The following is a 21,018-nucleotide window of genomic DNA, read 5'->3' as shown; positions in this document are numbered from 1 at the left end:
TATATTTAATATGAATCCTGAATTCAAGGTTTTGTTGCCTTCTGGCCTAGGACAGCCTTTCACTCCTAGTTCTGATTCTGATAACTACTCTACCACAGTTCCTCTGTCATATGCAAGCAGGCACTATAGTTTTAACAGGACAGGGAACTCTTTTGATTATGATGGGCAGTAAGGCCAGTGTCAATATTTTAAATGAAAAAAATGATTGTCAATTTTGGATTGGGAGAAAGGGCAAATTTATTAGTAATTTATGCTCACATCCTAAATATGCCAGGTTTCAATAAATCTATTTCATTCACTCAACAAATATTCTTTTTTTTTTTTTTTTTTTTTAGATGGCGTCTCACTCTGTCACCAGGCTGGAGTACAGTGGCACCATCTAGGTTCACTGCAACCTCTGCCTCCCAGGTTCTAGCGATTTTTCTGTCTTAGCCGCCCTAGTAGCTGGGATTACAGGCGCGTGTCACCACGCCAGGCTAATTTTTTGTATTTTTAGTAGAGACGGGGTTTCACCTTGTTGGCCACGATGGTCTCGATCTCCTGACCTCATGATCTGCCTGCCTCGGCCCCCCAGAGTGTTGGGGTTACAGGAGTGAGCCACCACACCCGGCCTAACAAATATTCTTTAAGAGCTTCTATGTGCCAGATATTGTCTCAAAAGTCCACAAGTCAAATCCAGCTTATAGTTAGTTTTCATAAATAATGTTTTATTGAAATAGCTCCACACCAATTCATTTACATATTGTCTATACCAGCTTTCAGGCCACAATGCCAAAGTTTAATTGAGACAGAGACTATATGGCTTATAAATCCTAAAATACTTACTGTCTGGCTCTTTGCTAACCCCTTGTCTAGCAACTACAAATATGTTGTTGAGCAATGCAAACCTCTGTCTTCTGTCACTTACATATTGGCTGGGGTGGACAGATATTAACCATAGGCATATAAATAATTAGATAGTATCATGTATTAGAAGGTATGAAAATGCTATGCAGAGAAAAAAAAAGCAGGATAATAGGAATGAAACAAGTGGTGTGGGGGACAGGTTGCAACTTTAAATAGTGTAGAGTAGTGAAGTTGAGGAAGGTAACATTTGAGCAAATTTTTGAAGGAAGGGGGTTAGTAACCATATGTAAAATTAATTGGGGGAAGAATGTTCTAGTCTAAGAAATGAGCTAAGGCAAAATACCCTAAGGAAGAAGCATGCTCTGTGTGTTCAAGGAACAATAAGAAGGCCAATGTGGCTGGAGTGGAATGAGGGAGGGGAAAGTAGTCTTTATGAGGAATGTCTTCATTCTTTAGTGGTAATAGTATTTGCTACTGCCAGTAATTGCTGTAAAAATGTGAATCAATGCCTTAGGCTTAGATATTATTTTTTAACATGCACAGTAAAGCAAGTATAATTTAAGAACTCTGAAGTTTAGTAATACCCAGTTGCTACATATCTGTCTTCCTCTCTTTCTCTCTCTCTCTATACATATATATATATATTCTCAATCTATATCTATGTATATATTCTCTATCTATCTATCTATATATACACAACACACACACACACTGGAAGATATATATATATACATACACACACACACACAAACAGAGGAAGGAGATTTGAATGGTGGTACAATTTATAATAATATATTGGAGAATGTATAGTGTGTAATAATATACGAGGTCATAGAGTGCTTGACAAATACACAAAATCTTGAAAGATTGGCTGAGTCTCAAGAGTACTGAAAATATAAAAAATATACATTTTATATTGTTACCTTTAAGCTTCTAGTGACTAAGTAATGTTATTAGGCTCATCAGATAGTTAAATTTTCTTAAAGGAGTGCAGTAATAATTACAGAACAAAGAAACTGACAACAACACATAGATTTTATGCCCAAGGAGGGAATATAACTAGCACTCTCTTGGAATAGATTAACATGACCAAGAAATAAAAAAGATTTGTTTTTAAAAAATGTTTTGTACCAAATGGCTTGACCAGATATACAATAACAAGGCATACGGAAAATCCAGCAAAAGTTGAAGGAAGGGACGAATAGGTATGAGAGAATGATTCTGTTTATGTTGTGTGTTGTAAAATCAGAAAAGTTCCACAATACACCAAAAATATAATCCTCTAGAAAATACTTGGATGTTGAGATAGGAAAAAAATTAATCTGAAGAATGAGTCAAATCTTAAAAATTTTAAATCATTTTCTAAAGCATTAAGAGCAAAATGATACCCAACTCATAAATTAATGCAGGTTAAGAATATTTTGCATTTGAAAAGTGCTTTAAACTATTTGAGGCCTAACTCTTAGTTTATTACCAGTTTCTCCTGTAACCACATTTTAATGCAGCAGATCAAAGAGCCACCTGAAAATCCGTAGGAATTACATTTACTGGATGCAGAATGGAACCAGTTTAGCAGTAAATAGCCACAATGTTACACACACTTTTTTTTTTCACTGACTCATTTAAGCCTTACCACATTACATGAAGTAGATACTATTATTACCTTTGCACTGCAGATGAGAAAACTGAAGAAATGAGAGGTTATGTAACTTGTAACTTACCCAAGGTCATGCAAATAATCCGTGGTGAAAAGTTGGGCCTTAAACCATCCAGTGCAGCTCTTAAGGGTTATTTATTAACCTGTGCTGACTCTTTTCAAGAGATGTCATCCCCTTCAAACTAAGTCTAGAAATGGCTTTCATGTGCTCTGCCAACCTAAAAGCAATTTCATAGTTCTAACAAGCAAAAGCCTCCTCACACATGTTTTTTGAGTATTGACTACAAACATGATAAAAACTGTAAATTTTTGGGAGAAAGGGAACCATTAATAATGCAAGAATGACTTTGTGAACTGGCATTGTCTTGGACAAACCAGAATACGGTTACTCTAACCATGAGGGTTCTTTGAATGACCCACTCCCTTTGCATTAGTTCCCTGAGAATCCCTGCCTATACCTTACCAGTGAACTGCATCCTTCTTATACATCTCTTTCCTGAAGGAGCTATTTTTCCTAACATTAAGCCCATTTCTTACTATTTCCTGCTTCATTTTCTGATGGTTCTCTTCAATGATCAGACATGTCAGGTCAATTACTACAGTCTCTTTTCTGCACATCCAAACCCATGCCCTATTGAACATTCCCAAATTTCCTCCTCCTTCCCTTTCTGACTCCAGTGCTGACTAAATTAGACCAGTTTCCTGTATAATCCAGATGTTGCTTCATCCCTGGACTAATCATTTCTGTACCCATTTTTGCATCTACATTCCCACTACTTTCCTATTTACTCTCTCCCTGAGAAGTTCTATCAAATTTCAACAGCAACAGATAGCCATAGAACTCACCCAATCAAGAAATTAAAATTTGAGCATACAAAAACCACTTTCTGTCTAACTTGTTCTTGACAAAGAAAAAATAACAAGAATTTTAATGAGATTATTAATGTAATAAACAATTGTCATTTTAAAAGACAGAAGAAAATATATGTTTTTGCTTTCAAAATAATTTTGCTTTGTTTAAAGATGTTTTGAATAAGAAACTAGTGAGAATAAGCTATGTTGACTAACAAATTAGTCCAGTCAAGGCTAATGAGGTGGAGTAATTAACATTTACTGAGCATAAACTAATGCCAAGCTGTGTTTTTTAATGGGAAAAAAAAAACAGAGAAATCAGTAAATACGTCAATATGCAGGAAAAGGGAAATATGAAAAGACAGACAGCAGAATGTAGATTAAACACAATAAGTTCCTATTTGTGAGTCATGCCCAAATTCTCATTCATTGGGCAACTTATAAGAATTAACTGAGAAGAGAAACCACAGTTTTTTACTTTGGAGTTTGGCTTATTGTTAGAAATAATGAATGAGAGTCAGACACACTTCCAGAGTACCAAGACAACACTCAGAAGAGGAATAATACAGCTTCACCTTGATTTATAATGTGAAAAGATTCAACCTAGCTTTTGAAAGTCTACAGAATAGAGAGAAGCACAGGTAAAGAAGAAAACTGCCCTAATAAACAGTTCTAATAGAAAATGTTTCCTGACCCAGACTATGTCAGGGAAAACATGCAAAATATTTTCTTCTTCTTCTTTTTTTTTTTTTTTTTTTTTGAGACAGAGTCTCGGTCTGTCGCCCAGGCTGGAATACAGTGGAGCGATCTCGGCTCACTGCAAGCTCTGCCTCCAGGGTTCAAGCCATTCTCCTGCCTCAGCCTCCCGAGTAGCTGGGACTACAGGCATCTGCCACCACGCCCGGCTAATTTTTTGTATTTTTAGTAGAGACGGGGTTTCATTGTGTTAGCCAGGAGGGTCTCGATCTCCTCACCTCGTGATCTACCCGCCTCGGCCTCCCAAAGTGCTGGGATGACAGGCGTGAGCCACTGTGCCTGGCCAAATATTTTCTTCTTTATTAAGCATTGTCTTCTATGTTTGTTTCTACCCTTGCTGCCACATTCCTGCTTTCTTAAGAATGAGTTATCTAAGTCACAAACTAATATTTTAATAAACTTTGTTTTTCAGAAGACATGCCATTCTCAAGCTTCTACATTGGCTGAGGTTTTCAGATACTGATCTTATCTGCCAAAGTGCAGGAAAAGCATCATTTAGTGACAACTTACTCTAGCTGCTGACTCAGTATCTCTAGAATACAGGTAAAAATCTCAAAAATCTCAATCAGGACATGTCAGGGCATGGTGTTTTAGAGCTGTAGGGAATCTTAGGTAATCTGCTTTATGTAACTATTATGCAATACATGATACTGTCTACTTGCAATTTTTAGAAGTTGTTTTAAGAGGTTGAAAATTTTTTTCTGCCTTCTTATTCAGATGTCATTTTACCAGCCTGAAGAAGAATTTACTCTCTGATGAGAAATGCCACAATTGCCAGCAAAATTCACAGTGACTTGCATACAAGGTTATAACTATTAAAAAAAAAAAGAGTAAGGAGCTTTACAGCTTTCATGGATGAGGGTGCTTCTTGCTGCAATATAGTGTTTTCCCTCTGTTGATATGCTTTAAGCTATATGCATAGGCACTGTAGTGAGGACATAAAATATATGAACTATGAAACATTTTGAATATTGACATTTTCAATTATTTTTTAATACTCATAAAACCTTACTCCTGAATTTGCTGAAATGCAGGGCGGTCTACTTCAGTTCATTAGATACCTAGTGGGAGGATGTAATCACAAAGCTAGAAAAATGTGAAACACTCCAGGCTAGACATCTTAGGCTAATCATAATGTAGGAAAGTTCTTCAAGGATTTGAGCACACAGCACTTCATAAATAGTACTGCTACCAATTAATTTCTCTAAAATGAAGATTACAGATTTCCCATGGTGAAATTAATGTCATAGAGTTAACGTCTTTTGTAATAGAAAATGGTTATTTTGTCGCCTTTCTAATTCTGAATTAAGATACAACCTTTCTCCTCATTCTTCTCCACCCACACACATTTAATATTAGATATTGGTAGAACTATTTAAAATTTTTCTCTCTACTAAAATAAAGGATTCTCTTATTTATGAAAATAAATAGTTGATGTTCATTTTAATAGCAGATGTAATAAAACAATAAATTGCAAGTTACTAAAGCAGCAGATATCAAAAGAATGCTATAAAATAAATGCTATGTTATATGGATTATATAACATATATTGTATTATATTTACTTGATTATATTTATATAATTACACAGTCACATTATTATATTAATTTATTACAATAACTTCAATCCCATCTACTAACTTAGAGACCAGAATATTGACTAATGACTAAAAGATGAGAGAATAAATATACAATTCATGTATCAATCCTTTATACTTCCCTTTGGGGGAACCATTTTCTTTCTCTTCTAGTGTCCCCATCTTAAATTTTAAAGTATGAACTTCTACCCTTTTAGAAGAATGGGAGAAGAATTTTTAGACTTTGTTCTATCTTCTGCACCTTTACTTCAACAACAGAAGTGCCTTAACTACTTGGTAAGATTGGGCAAAAGGATGAAATATGAAAGCTCAGCCTTTCCAATAGTCTCTCTTTTAGGGTAATTTGATCTGTAGATGTGGGCTTTCTCTTCTTGCTCCTCCCTCCAGATAAACACACTTAAAGCAGGGCTTAGGACCTGCTTTCTAGAAACAAGTCACCTGTCTTTGTAGTTCCACTGTTGGGTCTTGATGGGTACGATGCAACAATGAAGCTGTAGCAAGTTCAGTTGGCATATGCTCTATAGATGTAACACATGGTGAAGGCACAGTTCCATGCCCTATCCCATATTTAGTTTTCACTTGTTTCATAACCTGTAGTTGAATCTGAAACTTTATAAAAAGCTCACTCACATTTGTTTACTGAAACATGCTCTGCTTAATTAAATTATGTTCTTACACGTTTGATAAACTTATCTAAGTGTGTGATAGAATTAACTGAGACATTTATTAGATGATACTAATTGCTTACCTTTGTATTTGTTTAGATTCTCAATCTAGATAATAGGCTTCTTAGACAAAGATCATAATAATATTTCTCAAAGAAGTTAGCAATATAGAAGAAATGCAAACATTATTAAAAATATTATGGCGACAACTCGGTGGTGGCCACTGCGCAGACCAGACTTCGCTCGTACTCGCGCGCCTCGCTCCGCTTTTCCTCCGCAACCATGTCTGACAAACCCGATATGGCTGAGATCGAGAAATTCGATAAGCCGAAACTGAAGAAGACAGAGACGCAAGAGAAAAATCCACTGCCTTCCAAAGAAACGATTGAACAGGAGAAGCAAGCAGGCGAATCGTAATGAGGCGTGCGCCGCCAATATGCACTGTACATTCCACAAGCATTGCCTTCTTATTTTACTTCTTTTAGCTGTTTAACTTTGTAAGATGCAAAGAGGTTGGATCAAGTTTAAATGACTGTGCTGCCCCTTTCACATCAAAGAACTACTGACAACGAAGGCCGCGCCTGCCTTTCCCATCTGTCTGTCTGGCTGGCAGGGAAGGAAAGAACTTGCATGTTGGTGAAGGAAGAAGTGGGGTGGAAGAAGTGGGGTGGGACAACAGTGAAATCTAGAGTAAAACCAAGCTGGCCCAAGGTGTCCTGCAGGCTGTAATGCAGTTTAATCAGAGTGCCATTTTTTTTTTGTTCAAATGATTTTAATTATTGGAATGCACAATTTTTTTAATATGCAAATAAAAAGTTTAAAAACTTAAAAAAAATATTATGAAATATTTATATTTAAATACATATTAAATTATTAAAAATGATCAAGCAGATCATATAAATTGAATTCAAATATGTACATAACAGTAGAAAACAGTTCATTCAATTTACATATTTACACAATTTATTTTAATTATTAGACAACTGAATTAAATTGTACAACTGAAATGTTTTAAATAAATACAATAAGAAAGCTTCCAGGGTCACTTCCATTCTAATAATAAAAAAATTCCATAAAGATCACATTCACTAAAAAAAAAGTACTCATATTCTTATATTTTAAAAGTATCTTAGTTTATAGGATTTATTTTCTTATATAGATTTATATGGGATATACAAAATTACTATGTTAATGTTTAGAAGTCTTCCTTTAAATTTTGATAGACTAAAAAGATTGGGTTTTTTTTCTTTTTTATACTGAATTGCTTAAATTAATCAAAATAAACAATAAAGTGTACAGAATAGCTACTATGTGCTAGAAATTATGCAGGGCATTTTAATATGCAATTTCTATATTCCTTGATAATTCTAAAAAAACTAAGCACCAAATATCATTACTGGGATTTATCCTCAAATCTATCTTATGGTTGCCTTAAACACTGTCCCATATAATATCATCCTTACTCATGGTTACAACTACTTCTGATACATTAATAATTAAAAATTTATAACTGTAATTCTCTGCTAAGTTCCAGACCTGCAATCCAAATATCTAACAGCTATCTCAACTAAGATGTCCCATGGGCATCTCAATTTTAGTACATACAAGTATGAAGTCAGTTTTCCAAAACTGTTCTTTTAAACTCTTCCAATGTCTTAGAATATTACACTGCTGTCTCATGATTTTTTTATACTTATTTTACATAGTATAATCAACATAGACTTTCCTACTATTTATTATTTGTTTGTATTCAGTCATCGTACTAAGTACTTCAAAAACATTTTGTTTAACATAGTAATATGATGAAATAGGTATTATAATCTCCATTTTACAGATAAAGAAATAGGTTGGGAAAAGAATTTGCAGAGGGCTGCACAGGAAATGACAGAAAGCCAAGATTTCCATCCTATCTAACTAAGCAAAACAAAGGGACATAAAATGTATTGTGAATAGTGAGAAGCTAAAATTTGTAATTATGGGTAATTCAAATACTCAAAAAAAATTTCAGTCTTTCTCTAGAGTGCCTCTTAGTGCCCATATATTTTGTTTTTTGTTAACTTTGTTAAAAAGATATATACTTAGAAGAAAAATAATCACAGATTATTTAAAAGTGACAAATTCCAGAAATAAAAATTATAATTAGAAAAACATATTATTTCATTTTTATGGTTAACTGAATGTGAGTCATCTATAATACTGTTTTTCCTTATTTTTGGCTTCATATGCTTTGATTGCTTCTTAATATGACAGCAATTTTTACAATATTTTTTATAAAGATAGTAGAAAGATGATTCAGTGTGGCCTATGATTTGGTTGATTAAATTTTATTTTTATTATTAGTGGTAGATAAAGTTATTTTCAGCTTCAACTGATCATTGCAAATGCCACACTGGTACATTTTTGCTCAGTGAAGTTACTTGTTTCTTGAGAAAAACAGCGGCCAAGTGGCCAAGCAGTTTTGTTGCGATGGTCTAGACCAGGGAACAGAGCAACATCTGATTTAGATCATTCTCCTTGGAGTCAAAGTTAGGGGATGAACACTTGATGAAGTCCACCAGAGGAATGTTACCTCTGAGGTTCTGAGGGACATGAAGGTAGTGTGGGCTTCCAAGACTCCACCCAGTCCAGGGTTCAAATCAGGACTTCTGTGGCCCACACACTCTAGTGTGTGGCTGTGGCTGCTGCTTCATACCACAACTTCCTAGAAGAAAATCAAGTCTTGGAAGGGATGGGTATAGGTGAAGCTTCATGAACTTAAACTTCATTTATTTTCATAGTAAATTCACCTTTGCTGGTATTCTTAGCCCTAGAATTTGGGAATTTGTCCATATGTCTTAATTATGTACCAGAAACTCCAAGAGTGAGTCAGAGAGGGCAGTGGGGGGAAAGGTGACTCTCAAAGCAAAGCTTGTGAGTCAAAGAAGCTCAGAAGAATATGCATCTGCTCATCCATTCTAAGCTTGTTTTTTTTTTGTTTTTCTAATACAAAAGCTTTTGTGCAGTTTGTGACATTTGACTAATACATTCATTAGGATGCCAGACCCAAAGGTTAGTTTGATCTAAATGTCTGTTCTGAGTGCACACTGATCATGTTTTTGTCGTTATTATTAAAAAGATCAGGGAATGTGGGGCATGGATGTGGATGGACAGAAGTCCTACCTGTCAACTTTATTTGTACCTAAGAATTTTTTATCCAACAGTGTCACACAATTTGCACATATATCAAAAATCTCATGCTAGGTCTGAACAGAAGTCAAACTATCTCAAAATGTTGGGAATGCTACCAAAATGAGAATGTTTTCCCTAAATCCTGACATAAACTTAAGTCATATACAAGAGCATCAGATTCACAAAGCAGAGTCTCTATGCTTGTATTCTAGACTTAATTAAATAGAGTCACTGGAAATGAGCAAACACGCAGTATTATGCCCCAGACCTTGTGTTGTCCATAAGGCAAACATTTCACAATGGCATGAGATTCTGTAGACTGCAGCAAAAGTCTCCCAGATGTCTTGCATAGAATAAAACAATCTGGTATGATTTATTTCAGCTTGGCAAAATTAAAACTATATTCTAGTTGGAGATACCTCTCTGGGAAAATTCAATTTCCCTAAGCTGTCATCTTGGATGAAAATTCCAGGTGCTATTGAACAAAGCATTAGATGTTATCGATGATGTATGAAGAAAGAAAAAAAAAATGTCTTGCAACCAGATTTAAATAAAATATGCTCAGGGGGCAAATCCCATGTATGAACAGCACACAGTGATTCTAAACATATAGCTGAACTGAGATTAGAGCCTTGCAGTTTGGTCTCATGGCTCCACGGTAATAAATACCGTACACAGTAAAAGAGGCCTTAAATATGAAGTGGCAAATACGTCCAATAGCATTGCATTTAGAAGCTCAAATATGAGCTGTAAGCAATTACATTAGTTTGGAAAAAGGTAAAATTATTTTATTTTATTTTATTTCATTTTATTTTAATTTTGAGACGGAGTTTGGCTCTGTCGCCCGGGCTAGAGTGCAGTGGCGTCATCTCGGCTCACTGCAAGCTCCCCCTCCCGGGTTCACGCCATTCTCCTGCCTCAGCCTCCTGAGTAGCTGGGACTACAGGCGTCCACCACCACGCCCGGCTAATTTTTTGTATTTTTAGTAGAGACGGCGTTTCACCGTGTTAGCCAGGGTGGTCTTAATCTGCTGACCTCGTGATCCATCCGCCTCGGCCTCCCAAAGTGCTGGGATTAAGGCGTGAGCCACCAGGCCAGCGAGAAAAAGGTAAAATTAAAAGCCCAAGAATAAATGTTGGTAGATGCAGATGAAAAACATACTTTAAAATAAAATAAAATAAATATTAGAAACATTTGAAAAGTGGCATATCAAGTTAACTATAGACAGTTTTGTTTTGTTTTTTAAGGAAACTTGAGTGGCTTCAGGTAACTTCCAATTTCTGGAAGGCTCAATAACTGTAAGTATTCTGTACGAGAAAAGAAAATAAGATCGTGCTTACACATCTTATTCTGCCATATTATTTCCTTTGAATCCCCATTTTATTGTCGCCCTTTCCGTTACATGGGATGTACACATCAGGTGTTAAAAGGTACGATACAGTCTGCAACTAAGCACCATTTTCTGTAACTGAACACGGTATTTTTTTGAAAATTGATTAAAATGGGTTTAAATTTATTAATACTATTAAATCAGATCTAATATTTGATACTATAAGATTTAATACAGCTGTATGATGCAATTATACAAAATATAGACACAGTTCTTAATTTGTATCAGTGATAAACACCTGAAAACTGTTCACTACTACTCTTAGAATAGAATTATTATTTTTTTCTCTCTGCACTGTAAATAGCTAAGGAATTTCAACAGGAAGAGGGAGATTGTATTGAAACTATTAAATCAAGTAGCATCTAGCATCAATGTGGTGTTCATTATCAATTCTTTATTCAACTTACTGAGGGGCTAATATTTGATTTACCCTTTGAGAATGATGTGTGGAATCCTAATAACTTTTAAAAAGTTTTTTTAGCAAGAAATAAATTATTCACTTTGGATTTTATCCTGATTATTAAAAATCACCTTGTGAGTACTAGGAAGGAAAATAGGCTTGAGGCTTCCATGAGGGCTGATTGCTGGAATCTTACAGAGGACTGCCTTTAAACTGTAAAAATACACAAAAATTCATTTAAAGTTGCACACATCAAACTTCTCTTAGTCCATTTTCTGTTGCTATAAGAGAATACTGCAGACTGGGTAATTCATAAGGAAGTTTATGTAGCTCACGGTCTTGGAGACTGAAAAGTCCCAGAGTATGGCACTGGCATCTGGTATGCATCACCCCATGGTGGAAGGCCAGAAAGCAGAAGCAAACAGAGTAGACAAAGAGAGGCACCAGGGGCTGAATTAGCTTTATAATAACCCACTCTCCAATTGAATAACCCATTCCCAGTAATGACATTAATCCATTCTTGAGGGTGAAGACCAGCTGTTGGGAGGAGGGTAGGCCTCAGCTCCCAACAAAGTTGCATTGGGGATTAAGTTTTCAACACAACCAACTTTTGAGGGACACATTCAAGCCACAGGAAAAGGGTTTGTTTGTTTAATTGAGAGATTACAAATGTATTTTGTCTACTAAGAATAATGCATTAATTTATTCATTAAATATTTGAGTGCTAGTGGGTCATGAACCATTTTATACACTGGTTCTTAGGAGACTGGCTGGTAGTGAACAAACGAAATGTATTTATAGGTATGCACAAATAGCTCATCATTAAGTCTTTTATTATTGCCAAAAAAAGAAACACACAAGGAATAGGCATAATAAGATGGCCATCTGTAGGCTCCATAACTTCAGAGGCTATTTGGCACTGTCCTATTAGAGAAAGGGAAGTAGCCCTGCTATGGTTTGAATGTCTGTGTCTCCTCCAAAATTTATGTTGAAACTTAATCTTCAATGCAACTCTATTAAGAGGTGAGGCATTTAGGATGTGATCAGGCCATGAAGGATCTGCCATCATGGACAAGACTAGTCACTTATAAAAGGGCTGGAGAAAATGAGTTAGGCCCCTCTTCGTCCTTTCTTCCATTTGAGGACACAGCGCAGCAACAAGGTGTCATCTTGGAAGCAGGGTAAAAGCCCTCACCAAACACTGAACCTGCCAGTTCCTTGATCTTGGACTTCCCAGCTTCCAAAACTGTGAGAATTAAATTTCTATTATTTATAAATTACCCAGTCTCAAGTCTTTCGTTATGGCCGCACAGAAAATTAGGATAAGCCCATTAGGTTATTTGAAAAGCTGTGAATAACGAAAGACCATTGTCTTTAAAGTAACACCAATTGCTTAATATCTTCCTGCTCTCTCACAGATGACTATAAATAGGATAACATATATTGATTATCAGTAGATTTGGTTCTTCCCATTTATACATAGAAAATATATTCTTTACAAAAGTAAGCTTAGTAATTTTTCTATGGAAGAACACTATAAATAATGTTGCAATTTTATTGTTCCATAATATTCTCTTTAAGAAGTACACACCATTTGGTTCTAGAAGGACAAATCTATAAAGTGTTGACAAAGACTGGCCTTGTCAGCATCCTTTGGTGTGGATTTTTAATTGTCAAACATTTCTAATTAAAATAAGAATATGGAAAATTTCTGCAGATTTTAAACTGACAAAAGAAATAATGATCATTTGCTTAATGACTGATAAAAAATGTTTCCAAAAAACACTATTTTATTTTTTTATGGATCTCAAAGATGGTGCACATTGGTAACCTTAGTTCAGTATACATCACAAAAGAGGGATCATCAAACATTAAAAAAAGTCAACTCAAAGCGATGAAGATGCTTAAGTTCTTTAGTTTTTTAAGAAGTAGACACTTTTTCACACACTAGAAAACAAAAGCTTCATTATTTATGTAGCTTGCTCATTCACTGCAGCTCAGAAAAATATTTTCAGATATTTGCTTCTATCATCACATGTTCTATCTGTATCTACACCTATAGCTGTAGTTGAATATATACAACTGAAATGAAGAATTTTCTCTTCATTTGCAGACATTTCTACTATGGAAAGAAAACTTGAAAAATAAATCTATTAAATTTTTATTTTATTTCAAGAAGGCAATCCATTTAATATATGCTTGTTTTAATAGACAAATGATAAAAGATAACATTACTAGTAAATTGTTACTTATAACACTGAACTAGGAAAAAAAAAGAGTCACATAGTAATACCTGATGCTTGTAAAAAGACTGTCTTGCCCTTTACTCCACTAATCAGAGTTTTGAACATTTATTTTAAGAACGTAATTACACATATAAGATATATGTGATATACAATTATTAGAAAGCAAGATACAAAACATATAGCCATTATCATTTCTGCTATATAAAAATTGGAGGAGGGAGAGACATATGAATATATCAAAAAGGCTATATTGAGGTAGTGGAATATTAGGTAACATAATTTTTTCCTCTTCTCTTATTAGATAACTTTCATTTAAAAAGTTTTCAAAAATATAGTCTAAACTAAATTTTACCTAATATTTAGTCAAGGTTATTCTTTTGTGGAAAAAAAATGATATGCAAGTAATGAACATTCTTTAAGCAACATTAGTTGTTGAGATAATAACAGTCATGTTCGTAAAGTTTCAAGGATGAAATGAAGTGCTATTCATCCAACCTTAAGTTCAATTACATCAGATGGATGGCATTAAACTTGCCAAGTATCTGCCTTTTGCAACATATTGTAGATAACTCAAGTTATGTAGCCAATCTTCAACAGTGTAATAGGCATATTCTCATCTTCCTAGCAGGTTATCAATGTTTGCTAAAACAAATATGCCTTTTGTGGCAAAGTTCAGAGGAGGAAAAAATATATAAATGCTCATCAATAGAAATTATATAATGATACAGTTTTCTTAAATGACAGATTATAACAAGATAGGCTATGCAATCCAATATCTCAGTGTGCAAAATGATAGAAAATAATGAATACAGTACCTATTATTCTTCACTGTAAAAGTCAAATCCACTAAGAAAGAAAAATCAATAATCAAATACCTTTTTCAGTATTCAACCCTACCTTCCTTTCTCCATAATGGCATCTCTTCGCATATCACACATAAAGAAGTCAGTCTTCAGCAAAGGTAGTGTAGAACCACACTGACGCATATCTTAGTATGCGCATACCTTCCTACTGCTTGTTAGCTAATGAGATAGTTCATTAATTGTGCTGAACCTCAGTTCCCCTGTTTGTAATACATTGAGACTGACAGTAAAACCAACATAATGCCCAGAATGGTTGGGAACAGTAAGTGGAATACAGGCTGAGTGAAATGATTACAGATTAACATGAAAAAGGACAATGGGAAGGGAGTTTATATGGATGGGATATCTGTTATATTAGTGTTAGATATGATTCACTCCTCAGCATTCATTATTAAAATACACATATGTCACTTTTTAAATAGTAATTTAGTGTTACTACCAAAGTTGTTTGTTCATAGTCCAAGGACAATTAACAAAAGTTATACAATAGAGAAAAAAGGAAGGGTGTGTTTGGCTGCCTCAAATCTTTGGGGACTTTACTGATTCAAGTTCATCTTGTCTGGCTGTGTAATAAACCAAAAACTGCAAAATAGAGTAGGGATTGTGAATTTAGTAAAACAGAAAAATGGGCAGTTGTGTCTGTGGCAATTAGAAGAATTTTAAGGATCTCTCATTCCAAAGCAACAAAGTTCCATGAACTTAAATAGCTCAGAAATCCCCATAACCATCAAATTGACTGGTCTCTATTTGCTTTGTTCCTCTCAGTGTCATACTCCACAAGTCTGTGTATGCTATTAACAGTGGGAAATAATTTGAGTGAAGGAACCTTACACTGAAGCACTTTTTGCTTCTCCATAGCAAACATAGTAAAATTTAATTTGCATATGCTTAGATTCTTTAAATGACATTCTGCAGCTTTGAGAAATTTATTTAACATCTTTGAGCCTTGGTTTCCTCAATATAAAAGAAAAATTACGGCCAAGGGTGAGGTAAGATACACAAGTAAATGGCATAGCATAATATTGACACATAGTATGAACAATTATTTGCTTCATATACTTCTCAACATTTTATGCTGTAGTTAAGCATGAGCGGAGCAGGAGAGGTCTCTCCCCGACTCACTAGAAATGTCCGGTGATGGTTTGGCAATTATCGTATTGCCTCTCTAGAAACGATAATTTGGCTGTCAGGGAGAGAATCTCCTGATGGTCCACACAGGCTAACATTAGAAGTGTTAATTGAATGTAGGCCTCAGGGAGAAGCAGCTTCTTGGGCATGAGTGTTAACAGTCAAAATGGCGAAGTGTGATGTTTCAAGAACACATGCTACTAGAAAAAGGAAGGAAGCCTCAGATAGGCATGCATATAACTCCCTAAACACACTGAATGTGCTCAATTCCAAAAGGTAAGGAAAGCACTGCATATGCAGGAAGCCCACCCTAAGGAAAGAATTACGGGAAACAGACCAGCCTATAAAGTTCTAGGATCAAGGTTAAAGATCTCTTTTTTTGCTGTCATCTACTCTCTCGCAGACCTTCAGGTGTGCACTTGGGTCCCTTCCAAGCAAATTTTCCTTTCTTTCATGTTCTAAAGACTTTTTAAAGAAACTTCCACTCCTGCTCTGAAACTTGCCTCGCTCTCTTTTTCTGCTCTATGCCCCTCAGTCAAATTCTTTCTGAGGCGGCAAGGACTGAAGTTACTATGGACCCATACAGACAGGCTGCTGTTAACTCATGGTAACTTGGATCTCTACCACCACTAACAATACTTTCATCAATATAGGTTATGAACATGTTTGGCATTTTAAATTTATTTTTACTCTTTCATTTGTACTTATGTTTTAGCGTAGCTGTTTTTTTCTCCAGTCTCATTAACTTCCTACCCATAGCTATTTTCTATTATGAATTGTTCACATTATAAACCATTCTATCTAAAAAATCAGTTTTTTAAGAGAGGCTTCAAATTGTATTATTTCACTAAGATGTTTTTCTGGTGAAATGAAGAGAAGCAGATGATCTTAGCACTTCCTAAATTTTTGAAAAGTTTTCATGGTTTTGTTGAACGTTGTTTCCTTAGTTTTTCTTTGTTTTCTACAATATTTTAGATTAGAATCAATTTTAACTTTACCCTATCTTTTTACTTCTATAATTTCTCTTGACTACTTGTCTTTGGATCATTTCATAGCTCTGTTTTCCTCCACTTATTTTCTTGCTGTTATTTCTGGTGATACCCATTTTGCATTTAAGTTTCCTAGGTGACATCCCCACATGCTTGTTTGGCATCTAGTGGTTCCTCCAGGAAATTATATACCTAAACTCACAGTCTTTCTTTCCCCTTTCATTTCTATCTTTCATCTATATAATTTAATAATGTGACATTGTCTTGCTTTATTCTCTAAAAGTTCTCCTAACAAATGTAAGAGCAAAAAATACGATATAAATTTTATTCATTCCTTCAAATATTTACTAATTGCCTGCTTTGTTAGATATTGAGGCTATAGGAGAACAAAGACCCTATCATTAAGGAGCCCACCAATGAGAGGGAAAAACAAGTAATGATAAAGCCACATTTGACAGTAAAAAGGGAACACACAGGAAAAACACTTAAGCTCAAGCTTCTAGTGGGGATTACAACTGGTAAAATCCTCCTTTTTATTCCTTACAGAAACTATAATAGTCCTAGAATAGCTCAAAGAGTTGTAAAGTGATACGAAACTAAATTTTTAAAAACAATCTCCAGCCCATTCATTCTTGTTTTGTTCATCCACTGAGTAAAATATTTAATCAGAAGACATGATGAAATCATGCTGTTTGGATTTAGTGCTTCTCCTCACTTTTGACCATTCTCTCACTCTGTATTTGGCTGACTATGGGAGATTTCTTAGTGATATAAATAGACTTATGGATAAGTATGTAGATATTGCATTCACACATGTTATAAAAATATAAAGATACATTTTAAGTCACTAAAAAATTTGCTTTCTCAGCTGAAAGAGTTCAAAAAATGCAACTTCAAAATATGCCACTTTGGTATGCTAATTACTTCAAATTGAGAGCACTTGAGGTATGTTGGATATAGGTGGACATTTTCTCAGAGCTCCCCTTATCTGGCTAAAGACAGCTCCTCCGAAAGTAATACAGCTATTGCCAATCCTCTCCCTGAGGGCTGCATCAACCAGGGAAGATTAACTCTTATCACAGGAGAGGAAGACAAGAAGTCGGCACCACACACAGACCAACTTTGTCACAAACCACCATGTATTCTTCTGAGGGCCCATTCATTTTTTCCAAAACCATTTACTCTCCTATAAATTGCCTACATCCCCTTCCCCCTCGGCTCTATAACCAGGGTATATAAGAATGATAAATCTCACTTGGTTTTAGGGTATTCAGTTGTCTTTCCTGCAATGTTCTGGTGCACATGATAAATTTGTGTAACTATTCTCCTATTAATCTGCCCGTTGTCAGATTATTTAACAGATTCAATTATTAAACTCTCAGAGGGCAAAAGAAAATTCTTCCCTCCCCTACACAGCTTTTAGATAAGATGCTCAAATTGTTCTCTTTTCATGTCTCTGATAATGCTGTCATGATTTTACAAGTAATAATGTGTTTAACTCAAATATAAAGAGTGTCCATGAAATAGGACATGATTACTAAAATGACATTAAATGTGTCTGTGATGCCCTATGTGCTTTTTGATGAAACCCACCATTCTCACTTCCAAGGCTGGAAGAAGTGGCTGTAGGTGATTCCTCTAAAATAAATTTTTCTGTTTTGTTATCATTACCCAGTGTAATGCCTGTATAGCATAGCTAAATTGCTACCCCACCTTGACTCTCCTAATTTGTAAGAACAGGATGTCTGTGGTCTGAAGTTCCCAACCTGATCAGACCAGTTGAAACCAGTGGTATCCAAGATGGCAGCTCACTTGACCTCTGAAGAAACTCTAACTTTATTGTAATCTAATTTCCATGCTAAATGAAAGTCCCATCAGTGCCATGACAGTTAATCATCATGACAATGACCAGAAGAAACCATAAAAGGAAGGCAGCACTCTGGTTCTGAGATTTTCTCTGCCTATTCCCAGAAACTGCACGGATATTCCTCCCCTTGCTTTTAATGCTCAACACCTTAATTCAAGTAGCCTTCTATCTGTGACTTTCCAGCTCTCAGGAGCTGAGAAGTTGATTTGTGAGCTGTGCTCCCACTTCTCAATTCCATGGCCATCAAATAAAGTCTGAACTGCTTGATGCTCATTTCCAGTTTCACATAATGGCTTTGTAACACTGAACGGGGAAAGACCCCCCACTTCTGGGGGACCGGCTTTGCCAGTAACACTATCACAAGAGTTTCTGCCCTGACCACCCAAGTCTGACTGCTACTACCAGATGAATGGTAACCAATCCATAAATAGTAGCTATTATTTTTATTTCGGTATTGATATGTAGCAAAAGTGAACTGTGTTATCCTATTTTATACCACTAATATGTTTGTAATCTCTCTGTAATTTATAAATCTGTTTGATGTAACAGGGAAAATAACATGTGCGTGGAGTCAGACAGATTTTCCTCTCAATCTTAACTGTCATGTATTATGCAGAATTAAACGAATCACATAATCCCCCTGAATTTAGTTTATTATGAATGAACTGGGAGTAATAATACTTATTTCTCAATTGTATTATAAAAAGTAAAGGCAATAATAAACCTAAAGCATTCACAGTACCTGTCAAAGGTTAGGAGCTCAGTAGCTAGTGGCTGTTGTTATTAAAATTATGTAAGCCTATCTCCCTTTGCTTCCTTGAGGACAGATACCACTCTACTCCTTCATCATGTTAACACTTGCTCCAGTCAAAGTCCCCGGCTCAGACTGACTTTCAAATTTTTAAACATACTTTATTGTGAAGTAGAACATTACATGTTTATTTATATACATACAGTTAAATAAAGGAGGAGGCCATTGTTTTGGACTGAGCTTCTGTACTAGAGTCCAAAAGACTGAACCAAAATGGAGTCATTCATGTTAAGATTCCACGTCACCAAACTCAAGGTAACTTATTTTTCTGGCCTTCCAAGAAATCATGTAGAGGTGATAGCCAAATCCCAAACAAGCTAGTTTTTATTGGGCATAATAAGGAAGTTTCCTCCACTTTAACTCTTACAAGGAAAGTAACATGAAGTAACCTGATGTTAAACAATCCACTTTTTGTATTAGCTTGTTTCCTTGTTCCTATTCAAAGTACCTTATAAAAAACAATTGTTGTGCTGAGTGCGGTGACTCAGGCCTGTAATCCCAGCACTTTGGGAGGACGAGGCAGGTGGATCACGAGGTCAGGAGATTGAGACCATCTTAGCTAATATGGCGAAACCCCGTCTCTACTAAAAATACAGAAAACTCAGGAGGCTGAGGCAGGAGAATCGCTTGAACCTGGGAAGTGGAGGTTGCAGTGATCCGAGATTGCACCCCTACACTCCAGTCTGGTGACAGAGCGAGACTCCATCTCAAAAAAAAAAAAAAAAAGCAACAACAAAAACAAAACAAACAAAAAAATACCAATTGTTTTGCCATGCCCAGAGGAGGAACTTTTGTAAATCTTTATATGAGATGCCACAAATTCATAAATTGTTAATAAAAGCCAATTACATCTTTAAACTAAATTTGCTGTAATTTTGTTTTTGACGGCCCAGTTACACACAAAAAAACACATATTTCCCCTTCTGCATATTATTAATTTCCATGATAATTCAGGAACATGCGTTATATATTTTTTTCTAAGTCTTTGGCTATCATTATGTCCCACTGACTACTTAAATTGTTGCGTTTGTTAAATTACTCTAAGTACTGGAATCTTGATTAGTGTAACAAAAGAAGTATAAAATAAAGAAGATAGTTTGTAAATTGTATGACATAGCTTATATAATAAATTTAAAATATCCAAAATATTCAACTGTTTAACTTTACGTATAAATTAATTTCAACTACATGCCTAATTTGATCACAATATGGTGGAATATTTTTAACTCAATTTATGCCTTAAAGGTAAAACACCTTCCTATTGGCATTTAAATCATAGAGCAATTATTTTCTTATATCCATGCTGTACTGCAATATAACAACCCTTTGTGATAAAGACTTTAACAAATATGTACTATTGCTACAGCAAATTCCATTGAATATTAAAGATTGTATCTTTTTGGCAGCTCTTCATCAGGGTACTGGAGTGTGTAAGAAACTGGAGGCAGTCCCCATTATGTATCATAGGATACTGTCACATTCACACTCTACATCTGTCTTACAGAGCTGACTAGGAGAGTAATTACTGCTGAGATAAGCCTTTTCTGGAATATATGCAATTAATTCTCCTGAAAAAAGAAGGAAAGTAGCCTGACACTTTAATAATGTTTAAGTATACCTAATCTATTACTTTTCTGTTCGTAATGTTTCCTAAATATGAAAAAGAAAGAGGATTTGAAAGTACTTACAGCTGTCCATTTCTATGTAAATCATCCATGGAGCTGTAATATTCTATTCTAAAATGACTAGCATGAAATAATACCATAAATTATAATAGAATGTA

The 21,018-nt window shown here is 35.1% G+C and overlaps 1 protein-coding gene and 1 pseudogene across 28 annotated transcripts in view, besides 1 other annotated feature; one reads left to right on the top strand and one right to left on the bottom strand.

Annotated features, from left to right (window-relative positions):
• The window catches only part of CCSER1 (coiled-coil serine rich protein 1), a 1,477,902-nt gene that overhangs the window by 759,603 nt on the left and 697,281 nt on the right, over positions 1-21,018 (bottom strand). The window lies entirely within an intron of this gene.
• Positions 6,581-7,197, top strand: TMSB4XP8 (TMSB4X pseudogene 8; annotated as a pseudogene).
• Positions 11,310-12,228: an enhancer, noted in NCBI's record as "OCT4-NANOG hESC enhancer chr4:91754616-91755534 (GRCh37/hg19 assembly coordinates)". NCBI's record gives its function as "activates a minimal SCP1, AML or CMV promoter by ChIP-STARR-seq in naive and primed H9 embryonic stem cells {active_cell/tissue: H9 hESC(naive and primed)}" and the evidence as "EXISTENCE:reporter gene assay evidence [ECO:0000049][PMID:30033119]".

The sequence above is a fragment of the Homo sapiens genome, chromosome 4, assembly GCF_000001405.40.
Source record: "Homo sapiens chromosome 4, GRCh38.p14 Primary Assembly".
NCBI lineage: Eukaryota > Metazoa > Chordata > Mammalia > Primates > Hominidae > Homo > Homo sapiens.
This window is presented reverse-complemented; position numbering and strand designations above follow the sequence as displayed.